The 13,024-nt window shown below is 44.4% G+C and overlaps 1 protein-coding gene across 4 annotated transcripts in view, besides 6 other annotated features; it reads right to left on the bottom strand.

Moving 5' to 3' along the window:
* SRGAP1 (SLIT-ROBO Rho GTPase activating protein 1) overlaps positions 1–4,864 on the bottom strand; it is a 317,518-nt gene extending 312,654 nt beyond the window's left edge. For all 4 annotated transcript variants that reach the window (NM_020762.4, NM_001346201.2, XM_024449096.2 and 1 more), the window contains exon 1: positions 4,681–4,864. In NM_020762.4, the coding sequence (NP_065813.1) occupies positions 4,681–4,747 (67 nt within the window). In that variant the 5' untranslated portion in view covers positions 4,748–4,864. The remainder of the gene's footprint in view (positions 1–4,680) is intronic.
* Positions 4,858–5,357: an enhancer, noted in NCBI's record as "H3K27ac hESC enhancer chr12:64237987-64238486 (GRCh37/hg19 assembly coordinates)". NCBI's record gives its function as "activates a minimal SCP1, AML or CMV promoter by ChIP-STARR-seq in naive H9 embryonic stem cells {active_cell/tissue: H9 hESC(naive)}" and the evidence as "EXISTENCE:reporter gene assay evidence [ECO:0000049][PMID:30033119]".
* Positions 5,022–5,281: a silencer, noted in NCBI's record as "silent region_4618". NCBI's record gives its function as "represses an Ori minimal core promoter by ATAC-STARR-seq in GM12878 lymphoblastoid cells {active_cell/tissue: GM12878}" and the evidence as "EXISTENCE:reporter gene assay evidence [ECO:0000049][PMID:35858748]".
* Positions 5,358–5,859: an enhancer, noted in NCBI's record as "H3K27ac hESC enhancer chr12:64237485-64237986 (GRCh37/hg19 assembly coordinates)". NCBI's record gives its function as "activates a minimal SCP1, AML or CMV promoter by ChIP-STARR-seq in naive H9 embryonic stem cells {active_cell/tissue: H9 hESC(naive)}" and the evidence as "EXISTENCE:reporter gene assay evidence [ECO:0000049][PMID:30033119]".
* Positions 5,358–5,931: a biological region, named in NCBI's record as "H3K27ac hESC enhancer GRCh37_chr12:64237485-64237986".
* Positions 5,392–5,451: a silencer, noted in NCBI's record as "silent region_4617". NCBI's record gives its function as "represses an Ori minimal core promoter by ATAC-STARR-seq in GM12878 lymphoblastoid cells {active_cell/tissue: GM12878}" and the evidence as "EXISTENCE:reporter gene assay evidence [ECO:0000049][PMID:35858748]".
* Positions 5,512–5,931: a silencer, noted in NCBI's record as "silent region_4616". NCBI's record gives its function as "represses an Ori minimal core promoter by ATAC-STARR-seq in GM12878 lymphoblastoid cells {active_cell/tissue: GM12878}" and the evidence as "EXISTENCE:reporter gene assay evidence [ECO:0000049][PMID:35858748]".

The following is a 13,024-nucleotide window of genomic DNA, read 5'->3' as shown; positions in this document are numbered from 1 at the left end:
TGTCAGGCTGCAGAGTGGTCAAAGAACAACAGATTTTCTTGGCACTCCCTGTACATATTCCATGTAGATAAATATGGTGCTATCTCTAGGAAAATACTACAAATAATAACTGTCAATTCTTAGCAACTAGCAACATGCATTATTAAAAACAAACACAGCCTCTCATCTATAAGTTCCACTTCATAAAACATGTCTTTATGAGTCTTTATTGTTCCCATATGTGTAGCTCCACAATATTTTTGCTGCAGAATACAAGAATTACATAGATCACTAAAGTCCACAGATAATTCAAAACCTTCTGCTAGCCAATTATTCAATCCCTTCCACTGCTACGCTATTTGCCAGAGATGCTAACAAATAGCATAGTCAACTGGTTTGGGTTTCATACACTTTTCCAGACATGCTTGCTTTCTAATGGCCTATTCAAACAAGAGATTTATTTCTCTTAATTCTAAGTCTTTGAGAATTTGACCAAGAGGCATGAAATGTTCAATTCATTCTTTAAAACTGTTGCCTGGGGTCCCCTTTTGTCCCCCATTTAAACCTATCCACTGTTTAACCACTTGTATCATTCCTGATTCTTCTGTCTTACAATTCTGTGCTACATTTCTCTGCATGTGGTTTTGATTACTGTTTTTTCTGTATTCTTTATTGTATTCTATTTTAATTCTCCAAAAACTCAATTTATACACTGTCCATGAACTTATGAAAAAAAAGTGAAAGCAAAAATGATTCTCCACAAAACAGAGCAGCCAACTGAAAACTTTAAAAGCTTGAAAATTTTATGAGGCAATTAATATGAACTGATATGACATCTTCAATTAGATTCAAAGACACTTAGGATTACAAAAATTAGTCAGGCATGGTGGTGCACGCTTGTATTTCCAGCTACTCAGGAGGCTGAGGCATGAGAATCACTTGAAACCGGAAGGCAGAGGCTTCAGAGAGCAGAGATCGTGTCACTGCACTCCAGCTTGGGTGACAGAGTGAGACTCTGTCTCAAAAAGAAAAAAAAAAGACACTTAAGATGAAGAGAATTCCAACTCCTTATCTTATAGATAAGAAAACCGAAACCCAGAGAAAGGCTAAGTGACTTGCCCAAAATGATACACACAACTAGATACATCTATGATCTTATACATAAAATTACGAATTATCACCAGGAATGGTTCTTTTCACAGTTAAGAATAGCCCCATGAAGTCTGTTCCCAAAACCTGTGCAGGCAGCCACAGTGGCAAAATTCCATATCTGGGCCGGGTGCAGTGGCTCATGCCTGTAATCCCAGCACTTTGGGAGGTGGAGGCAGAGGCAGGTGGATCACCTGAGGTCAGGAGTTCGAGACCAGCCTGGCCAACATGTCGAAACCCCATCTCTACTAAAAATACAAAAATTAACTGGGCGTGGTGGTGCGTGTATATAATTCCAACTACTCCAGAGGCTGAGGCAGGAGAATCACTTGAACCCAGGAGGTGGAGGTTGCACTGAGCCGAGACCACGCCACTGCACTCTGGCCTGGGCAGCAGACCGATACTCCTTTTATATATATATATATATAAAATAAAAATTAAAGAATAAAAAAATTCCATATCTGAAGTCATTCCTTTAGGTCAAAACATTATCTCAAAAATTCTGAGATAAATAAAGTTGTTATTAGGGAAAATGGGAGAGAGTAACAGGGGAAAATATTCTAGAGTGTTAGGTTCTAAGTTAGAAGGTAGAAAAAAAAATACATATAATCAAAATGACTCTTGAAATCACCCACACACCTAAGTCACCTATAGAGTCCAATATGTATGTTTATTCATTGTGTTTTTCTTGAGACAGAGTCTCACTCTGTCAGCCAGGCTGGAGTGCAGTGGCGCAATTTCAGCTCACTGCAACTTCTGCCTCCCGGGTTCAAGCAATTCTCCTGACTCAGCCTCCAGGGTAGCTGGGACTACAGGCATGCACCACCATGTCCGGCTAATTTTTGTATTTTTAGTAGGGACAGGGTTTCACCATGTTGGCCAGGCTGGTCTCGGCCTCAAGTGATCCGCCCACCTCGGTCTCCCAAAGTGCTGGGATTACAGGCGTGAGCCACCGTGCCTGGCCTAGACTTATGTCTTAATGAGTCCCACACAGTCAGGTTTTCCTTTAGCAATAGAACAGAATTTTTTTTTATCATCAGATAAAGTTGCTGACTGTAATTTAAAAAGTAGTTTGTTCCAAATACATATACCTTTATTTATTTATTTATTTATTAGACAGAGTCTCACTCTGTCACCCAGACTGGAGTGCAGTGATGTGATTTCGGCTCACTGTAACCTCTGCCTCCTGGGTTCAAGTGGAACCACAGGCACACTGGGACCACAGGTGTGTGCCACCACACCTAGCTAATTTTTGTATTTTTTGGTAAAGATGTGGTTTCTCTACCAAAATGTTGGCCAGGCTGGTCTTGAACCCCTAACCCCAAGTGATCCGCCTGCCTCAGCCTCCTGAAATGCGGAGATTACAGGCATGCACCACTGCACCTGATCCCAAAACACATACCTGTAAATAACAGACTAGCACTCTGCGAGGGTACAGAAAAACCAGTCTTGTCTCCCATGCTGTCCTTACTAAGGGGCCTACTCTCCCTGCATTGGACAGCTGGCCTCATGTACTATTTATCTGTTATTTGTCTCCCACTCTCTTCTTGATTTGCCTAGAAGTACCAGGTGAATTTGTGCCATTTAATGCGTATATGATCTGACTCCATGATATTCCCTTATTCCCATGTTTGTGTATGGATGTAGTGATCTAGGTTAGATACTGGATGTGTAGGTACTGCAGGAGGAGGTAAAGCCTGGACTCAGGGCAGGGCAGGTGCAGTGAAGACTCCTAAAGCAGCCTAGGGACTCGTGGGTGTGTGGAAGGAAGAAGTGTTGAAGGAAATAGGGAGAAGGTCATTCTCTGTGGGACAGACTTAGCTCCAAATGTGATTTTCACCATGTTCATGATTTTTCTTCCGTTTGAATTTGATAGACACATTGCAACACATCCCATTTCGCTGATTTTCAAATAAGGACTTGATCACTGGCAAGTGACCTTACAGCAAACATAAAGAAATCAACATTTGGAAGTGCATTTGCCAATTAGTGCTCTAGGCGGCAGAAAAACCAGACCGCCACCCCTTGAAGACCTGCCACAAAGAGCCATGTGGAAAAACTGCACAGAGAAATGGTGGTTGTGAACAAGAGTACTGCCCTGGAATGAAAGGTTTTAGGCTATGTTGGACTCACTGAAAAAAGAAAGGTTAGTCTCATTAGAAAGTTTACCTGGCTCTAAGAAAATAATTACTTATCTGCTAACACAACTTCCATAGCAATGAAACAAGTTCCTGTAAGTATAAATTATCACAATTCCAAGCAGACAAAAATCTGTGTCTCCTGAACACATTATAGGGGTCAGCCTATAGATAACTCCATTATAGGGGTCCTCCTAAAGATAACCTAAGTTATCTTGCATATTGTGTCTGCAGTGTCCACAATGAGTTGGTCTGTATTCACACTGGATGATACAGGATTTCTCCACCAGGTCCTCTCACAGGACTCCAGGCATTTTTACAACTTGACCACACAAAAGAACACTCAGGCTGCTCCTCCCTTGCTCAAGGGAAGTACAGTAATGCCTCTCTCCGTAGCCCTTTCATAAGACTGTGCATAGATAAACACAGGTGTATACATAGCAATCTTTATGAACTTTGCATTGAATGTGTCAAAGAACAGTGGCGGTCCCAACATTCCATCCATTGTCTCAATCAGGAAAGCTACTCCTGAGACCTCAGGAAAGAGGAGGAAAAAATTCAAGTAACACATATGTTTACGAAACACTTCAGTAACAAAACAAAATACTTGTATTGGAGAGAAAATATATATATTTTTAATCACAAGGCATAGAAAGTAAAAATAATCAGCCTTAATTAGGTTTCCTTCATTAGTTGACAATGTAAATGGACTGAAACTACTACTCAAATATTCAAACCTTCATTTTACATGCAAGTGGCTTCCAGAAAATGATAAAGCAATATTCCCATGTGAGTGTGAAAGATGGCAATGAATTCTGGCCCATTATAAAGGAAGAGTCAGATTCCACTAGTCACTGCTTCGTTTAACTGCCAGGCTTTTAGGGAGCTATTTAATAAAAGGGGTCTCGCCCTAATAAATTGTGAGCGGTGTAAATAGGTGAGTGGTGTAAATATCTGAAATAGCCTGCACTCAATGAGGCTGTAGACCGCTTGGGGTTCACAGACTTTACAAAAATCATTCCGTAAAAAAATTACGTAGTGACAATCCTACCATTTAAAAAGAATAATGATGGTGATAATAATAGCTGGACAGGATCCTCCACTGCTGCCTGCTTCCCACATAAGTTGCCCAGCTGAAGGTGGTTAAGTTAAAGCCAGTTCTCTCCCCATTAGAGATGCGGGCTGGCAGCTGGCGGGGGAAGTCACCCAGTTTCCAGCTCCCCGTGGGTTTGACGGGACTGGGATTGCAACTGGGAACTAACTGGCTTGTAGGAAGCCCAGGTGGCTCAGACAGGGCTCGAGCTGTCCCCTCACCACCTTCCTCCCACGCAGACACCAAGTTAGATACGCAACTCCACGAGCACAATGACAAGAAGGCACACAAAAGGAGCAAGGCAGCCGCTCCCATCCTTACCTTTGACTTGACTTTCATACTCGGCTATGATCTCTTTGTCCTTCTTGAATCGGCTCGGGGTGGACATTATCCAGCTGTTCCGGGTTTGCTTTCAATGGGCAAGTTTTGTTCAGTGGTCACAACCCGTTCTCCTTGGAGAGGCAGAGTTGTACTCCCACACGCAGGCAATCCAGAGGCAGCGCCGACCCGAGGGAAGGGAGGAGGGAGAGGAGAAGTAGGAGGAGGAGGGGAAAAAGAGCGAGTAGAGAGGACTAGATTAGCCCGGGCGCTGGCACCATACTCTCGAAATTGAGCTCCGTCGGTAATCCCAGGGGATCCCCGGGGGAGAGGCCGGACGCGCAGGCAAACTCCAGCCAGCGAGTGGCGGGGGACGTCTCCCTGCCCACCTCGCCGGGAGCCCGGCCACTTCCTCTACGGCCGCTGGGCGGGCGCGGGGCTCGCGCCGGCGCTCCGCACCATTGTTCGAGACCCGCACCGGGCGCCCGGGACAGGGCCAGCGGCGGAGGGCAGGCGCTGGGAACGCGCCCAGCTCGGGCGCCACAACCCTCCCTTCCTGCCTCCAGCTGTCGGCTCCGGCGCTCAAGGGTCCCGCCCGGGCTGGGGATGCTGCTGCCACGGCCGCCGCTCCTCTGCCCGCAGACACTGCCGCTACAGCTCGGCAGGCGAAAGGAATCGCAGTCCTGACGCGAGTCCCCGCTGCTGCTGAGAGGGTGAAGGCGGCGACGCTCAGACGCGCCCTGGGCACAGCCCCGGCGGAGTTTAGGTCTCCAGAGCCGGCGCCGCGAGGGGCCTCTGCCTCCCTGGCCGCGGTGCGCCGAGGCTGCCTTTCTCTGCGTCCCCCTTTCCGCTGCTGCCCCCAGGAGGCCGCTAGTGACAGGCACACTCGCACACGCACGCGGGAGCCGCGCCCCCGGCGGCAGCAAAGTTGAGGGTGCGCACACGGCTCGCGCCTCGCGGGCGCCCGGCTAGCGATCTGCGGGCGGTGGCTCCTCGGGGCTCCGCCAGGCGGGGCCAGGCTCGCGGGAGCGGACCGCGCTCCGGCCTGTGCCCTTCTCCGTCCAAGCTCCCGCCCCTGCTCCGCTAGGAAACGCCTGGCTGGTCCGGGAAGATGGATGCCTCTTGTGGCCAACCGCAGCCCGGCCCCGCGCGCCGAGCCCAGGAGGCCGTGGGCGGCGCCCCCGGCACCTCCCTCCGCCGAGGCCCCGCACCTCCCTCCGCCGAAGCCCCGCTCCACCGCTAGCCGAGGTCGCGGCTCCGGCGGCAGGAAAACCCCTTCCTGACCTGAGGGACCGCCTTCTGGCTCTGGCGGGGGCTCTGGTGGGGCTTTTGCCAGAATCTAATGGGGAAGTCCAGAGTTGGATGTATCCATGACACAAAGGGATGTTACTCCGAGACGCTGGACCCCAATAGAAAAACTGAACACTGAATTGTGAATGACCTGGCTGTTAATCCAAAGAGCGCGAAGCTCTTCAATCGAGGCGGAGAAAAACACCCACCTTGAACACCATATCCTCTATTCCTACAGTAGATAGGGAAGCTAGGATGGTAGGAAAGCGATGGTATGGAAACACGTCACACTTAACGGCGTTGTTAGCTTATTTATTTACTAAACTCCAGATTTTATTCCAATTTTACCAATTTTTTCGACTAGTGTCATTTTTTCTGTTCCAAGATCCAACACAGGACACTACATTGCACTTAGTACTTTTACGGTTGTTTTTGTTTTTGTTTTTTGATTTTGTTTTTTGGGGGTTTTTTTTGAGACGGGGTCTCACTCTCGCCCAGGCTGGAGTGCAGGGGCACGAGCTCCGCTCACTGCAACCTCCGCCTCCCGGGTTCAAGTGATTCTCCTGGCTCAGCCTCCAGAGTAGGTGTGACTACAGGCGCCCGCCACCGTGCCTGGGTAATTTTTGTATCTTTAGTAGAAACAGGGTTTTGCCATGTTGGTCAGGCTGGTCTTGAACTCCTGACCTCAAGTGATCCGCTCACCTCGGCCTCCCAAAGTGGTAGGATTACAGGTGTGAGCCACGGCGCCCGGCCACGTTTTTAATAGATACCTTTTACAAGATCTATCGTGTCTAGTCTCTTTTTATTTTATTTGTTTGTTTGTTTTCATTTTAGTACAGACGGGGGTCTCCCTATGTTGTCCAGGCTGGTCTCAAACTCTAGTCTCTTTTTGAACAATATAACGAAGAATTTACCTTGCCATCTTTGCATGGTTCAGGTGTTGTGTTAAGTACTTTAAATCCATCCTTGCCAGCCTTTTAAATTTTTTTTTATTATTTTTACTTTTTTGTAGAGATGAAGCCTTGCTCTATGGCCCAGGCTGGTCTCAAACTCCTGGCCTCAAAAGATTCTGGCTGGGCACGGTGGTTTACACCAGTAATCCCAGCACTTTGGGAGGCCGAGGTGGGCAGATCACAAGGTCAAGAGTCCGAGACCAGCCTGGCCAACATGGTGAAACCCCATCTCTACTAAAAATATAAAACTTAGCCGGGCATGGTGGCATGTGCCTATAATCCCAGCTACTCAGGAGGCGGAGGCAGGAGAATCGCTTGAACCCAGGAGGTGGAGGTTGCAGTGAGCCAAGATTGCACCACTGCACTCCAGCCTGGGCGACAGAGGGAGACTCCTTCTCAAAAAAAAAAAAAAAAAAAAAAAAGAAAATCCTCCGACCTCAGCCTCCCAAAGCACTGGGATTACAAGCATCAGCCACCACACCTGGTTCTGTTAGCCTTTTTGACTCACACCACTTGAGATATTTACTGACTCCTTTCAAATCAATTCTCAAATATTATGGGCCTGATTTATCAAAATGATGTGTCCAAAGGTGTATCCCCTCAAGTGTTTTCCCCACAAGATCTAAAGAAAGTAGGGACTTTTAGACTTTGATCATTCTTTCATGTATCCAGTGATCGGCTCTCCAGTTCTTAACTCTGTGCCAAACACCACGCTAGGAACTAGGGATTCAAAGATTAAGACTGCCGGAAAGGATCATGCAGTCTATTACTGTATAAATAAATAATTACAAGCAGTACAATAATGCTGTAAGAGATAGAAATACTCCCAGTCTTGGGAGCACTGGGGATGGAAAAACAGACTGCATAAGAGGATTGGGTGTAAGAGTTCGCAGAGGAGTGGTTTTGAGCTGGATTTAAAGGATGAATAGTAAGTAGCTGGCAACTTTAGGGAGGAAAAGGGATGCATTCCAGGGAAAAGGAAGAGTGTTATACTCTAGAGGAATTGCAAATAGAGTGACAAGATATCTTCCACTAAGATACCAGATCTCTGCTAGATGGTGAAAAATAATGTAAAAAATTGTAATATATGTATATGCATGTGTCAGCTGATAGTATGTGGGTATGTGGACATTGTTAATTGCACTGCTTTTTTAAAATCTAATTTTAGCAAGTTTTTTTTACTTTATAGCAACAGAATATATGTAAAGAAAATATGCCAATTTTTTTTAAGTTTTTTTTTCAGTCTTTTTTTCATTTTACCACACAGGCAGTTATACTATGGCACCCCTGGCTGCCCTAATTTCACGTGGAGCTGTCTTATGTAAGAGTGTACGGTGAAGAGAAAGCAGAGGCTGGAAGGAAGGTCAGGGCCAGCTGGGAGAGTCCTCCTGTGCCATGCTAAGATCTTGGACACAGTTCTGCAGACAGCAGGGAGCCTTTTAAGTAGAGAAGTATCACGATCAGATTTGTGTTTTATAAAGATAACTGTTGGCAGTGTAGAAGGATGGGTTAGCCATAGAGAAAGAGAGACCAGGCAGGCAGCCTACTTAGGTGATAATCATAGTCACATCTAAATGGGATTCATATCCATGATGCTGTTGGGATTTGTTTCATATTTGCACCTGGGAAGCACAAGTTGACAGCAGAGATTGCAGCACCTAGAAATGAATTGTTGCCTGAGTCTAGACCTAAATCAGTGTGTTGCAAACAAGCCCCAGAGACAGGGTGCCCAGAGGTGAATCCTAAATCTGCTGTTTCCTAAGGGATCTGGTAAAAATTACTATTCTCTCTAGGCCTTAGTTTGTAAAATGGGTTACAAATTTTCCTTATCTGTAAAATTGGTTAATGCCTAAGTCCTGGGGATGTTATAAGCACTTACTGAGATAAACCCTTAAAAGTACTTGTAGGCCATGGTATACACCCAGTGAGTATTAGTTATCTTTACAATTATTATCTTAGTTTTACTCTTCCTAATAGAAAGCTATCTAAAAATCAGAGATAGGCTGGGCGTGGTGGCTCATGCCTGTAATCTAAACACTTTGGGAGGCTGAGGTGGGAGGATTGCTTGAGCCCAGGAGTACAAGACCAGCCTCATTTCTACAAAGAATAAATAAAGATCAGAGATAATGTTTCATCTTTAATTTTATTATGGTGTTCAATACACAGTCAATAAAATGTATTGAATATTAATGCCACCATTAGTAGGCCACCATTTTATTGTTGTTGAAGATGGGATATACCCACTAAGGTAAGAATTTTGCACACATTCTCAGAAGAACCCTACATGGCGGACACCATTGTCCTCATTTTACAGATGAGAATCTGGAGGCTCAGAAAATTCAGTAAATGTCTGGCCTGGCAGGGTCAGAATTCCAGTTCACATCTGCCTGTCTCCAAAGTGGGTACTCTTTCCAATTTTCCATTCCACTTCCTATGAACTTATGATTCCTTTAAACTTGTGAAGTGAGTTCAAATAAGTAAAATGTGTGTGACGGAGTCATGGGTTTCTATTGGTGGATCTCTTTTCTGATCCAACTGTTTAGTGTAATTAACAAGTCAATTAGTGTTTCCATTATTTTCTTTTAACTTTTTTTTTTTTTTTGACACAGAGTCTCACTTGCCCAGGTTGGAGTGCAGTGGCATGATCTCAGCTCACTGCAGCCTCCACCTCCTGGGTTCAAGTGATTCTCCTGCCTCAGCCTCCCGAGTAGCTGGGACTACAGGCACACACCACCACACCCGGCTAATTTTTGTATTTTTAGTAGAGATGGGATTTCACCATGTTGGCCAGGCTAGACTCGAACTCCTGGCCTCAGGTGATCCGCCCGTATAGGCCTCCCAAAGTGCTGGGATTACAGGCATGAACCACCACACCCAGCCAGTATTTCCATTATTTTCTTTTTTCAGATTTTCTTTATCTTTCCCATAGTTAAGAACCCATTTCAGTTTACAAAGTTGGGTATGGAGAATGCCTGTGATTTAAAATGCAGAAAGCCAGGGTGACCCAAGTTTGGGAGACAGGCAACCCTGGTTCTGGCTCTCACACCGCTTCTCTGTGACTTTGCTCCACCTTGTGGTAGCTCTTTTCTAGCTATAAAACAAGAAAGACTGCACTTGGCCCGGGAAAACCTGCCTCTCCCCTGCCACACTCCCATTCTTTAGGAACATGTGAGAAATCTGGAGTGCCTGATGGTTGGGACCACTGCTACGTACTAATCCACTCTGTTATCTAGCATGGTCCTTTTTAGACTGCCCCCAAATTTCCATATGTAGAAGTTAATTTACCACTTGACCATATGCCCTGGGATAAGTAAGAGTATGCACGGAGGTCCCTATAGCCACAAAATAAATCATGCACCCTACTGCAGCATCACTTTGGCTCAGAGGTAAATAATTAAAATTATTTTCTAAAAATTAACACAAATATTTTAAAGAGTCGATGCCAAATTCACACAGGTGTTTTTGTTTGTTTGTTTGTTTTGTGGATTTTTTTTTTTTTTTTTTTTGAGGCAGATTCTCACTCTGTCACCCAGGCTGGAGTACAGTGGCACAATCACCTACCAGGTTCAGGCAATCTTCCCACCTCAGCCTCCTGAGGAGCTGGGACTACAAGTGTGCACCACCACACCTGGCTAATGTTTGTATTTTTTGGTAGAGACCAGATTTCACCACATTGCCCAGGCTGGTCTTGAACTCCTGAGTTCAAGCACTCCGCCTGCCTCAGCCTCCCAAAGTGCAGGATTACAGGCATGAGCCACCAGGCCTGGCTAGCTGTGGTATTAGCCTTTAAGAATTTCATGTCTGGGGCCGGGCATGGTGGCTCACACCTGTAATCCCAGCACTTTTGGAGGCCGAGGCAGACGGATCACCCAACATCGGGAGTTAGAGACCAGCCTGACTAACATGAAGAAGCCCCGTCTCTACTAAAAATACAAAGGTAGCCGGGCATAGTGGCGCATGCCTGTAATCTCAGCTACTCTAGAGGCTGAGGCAGGAGAATCGCTTGAACCCAGGAGGCAGAGGTTGTGGTGAGCCAAGATCGCACCTGGGCAACAAAAGCGAAACTCTGTCTCAAAAAAAAAGAATTTCATGTCTGAAATGGGCCATTCTGCTACTCCTCTTAACACAAAGGATACACTCTCCCCTGCCAATATCCTAGGTTTTATTTCTGGATCCAGCCAGAGCTTCAGAATACAGATTGCTCTGCACACCTCTCTCTTACTGTCTTGATTCTGTAACCCTTTGGCTTCTCAAATTATTTGCAGTATTGGTTTCAGTGAATTGCATTTTGGTATCATGTCTTGGGACAATGTGTTATCAAATATGACCTTACCATTGATCACATACATCAGAATCACTTTGGGAATGTGTTTCAAATTTGGACACATGGGACCTACTTTACACTCTTCAAAATGACACTTCTCAACTTTGATGTGTGTACAAATCACCTGGGGGTCTTGCTAAAATGCAGTTCTGATTTCTTCTGGAATGAGCCTAAGATCTTGCTTTTTTCATAACCTCCTATGCCATGTCAATAGTGCTGTCATAAAGACCACATGTGGAAGAGCAAGGAAACATTAGGGTCTGAATTTTGGGTGCCTAGGAAGTTCTCATGTGATTCTTATGCATGAGAATCTTTGCTCAAGGCTAAGGGATATTAAAATAATATCCTTATAAAAGATTTGCTACATTTACTCAAGTAACACTGAGGACATTGTCAATACTTTTGTTTCAATTTAATGTGTCCCTAAGAAACTGGACGATTTTCTCAAAGATTATTATTAGTACTATTTTATCTGTAAGATAGAGATAATTACCCTAACAGGTTGTGGTAGGCACTAAATGCAAAGTATATATAAAGCACTTAGCACCAAGTCTGGCACAAATAAATATTGGTTGTCATTGTCATTGGTATTACTTCGATGTAGAATGAGAAGGTCTAAATTTATAGTAAAATCATTGCAGTTGTCGAGGACCTTGTACCTTATTTATCTGTCCTATTTACCTTCTTGTTGGAACCTTGTATGTTAGTTGAGGATTTCTTTGATATTAATGGGCTTGCTTTGTAGCTTATTATCAGCTTACTATATGTCCACACTTTATTATACATTACCTCAAACATTTTATAGAATGAATTGTATAGTCTATTCAATTATAATCAACAGATATTTATGATCTATTAAGTTGAACCACATAACATTGCTGATAGTTGATCATTTTTGACATAAAAATGGCAATATTATATTATTCAACCCAACACTGTGAGCCCTGCGCTTTGTAATTGGTGTGAACAAAATCCAACAATAAAAACCCACTTCTGAGTAGATTTGTGCAGGGTTCAACTGCACAAATCTAGGGAAATCCCACTCATTCATAGGTTGGATTAGTCCAGTGCAGTTTGCCAGATAGTCAATCAAGAAATATTAATTATTGTTTTAAAAGAAACTTGGCCTGTAATTTTACAGCAGCTTGTCTAAATGGACCGTATAAATATCCATTTTCCCTCTTTTGGCAGCAGAATAGTAAAGACAAGCTGTCAAATGATCTTGCCAATTCCATTCTGATGCACTTTCCCTGGCAGAAAAGAGGATGGAATGAAACAATAAAGGTGAGTTTCGATGAGGTCCTGAAAGGATTGGTGCAGGAGAGGCTGACGAAAGACAGGCAGAGAGAGAAAGGACAGAAAAGAAAGAGGTAAAGAAATGGAATGTCACAGAGAGAAAAGGCAAAAGACAGCAATGAAATGAATGATTATTCAAAAATGTTCAATTGTATAATTTAGCTCCCCTCCCCCCAAAAAAACTTGTCTCTGATTTTCAAGAAAACTAAAATAAATCAGGGCTTTACACTCTTTTATTTTGTTTCAGTGAAGCTGCTCTATAATATTTTTAGCCATCTGCTCAAAAATCACCTGTTTCCACTTTGCACAAATCATTGTTAAAACAGAATTTGCTTTGCTTAATCTCATATTAATAACTTCTAAACACCCACACATAACAGCCTTCTCATCAGAGCTACTATTTTCTGCTTTTGAAATTCTACTACAGCTTCCCATGTGGCTCTGCACAATATAAGCAGAATATGAATATTCAATGAACCCATCC

The sequence above is a fragment of the Homo sapiens genome, chromosome 12 (genome assembly GCF_000001405.40).
Source record: "Homo sapiens chromosome 12, GRCh38.p14 Primary Assembly".
Classification (NCBI taxonomy): Eukaryota; Metazoa; Chordata; class Mammalia; order Primates; family Hominidae; genus Homo; species Homo sapiens.
Note: the sequence above shows the minus strand (reverse complement) of the source record. Positions and strands in the feature narration are given on the sequence as shown.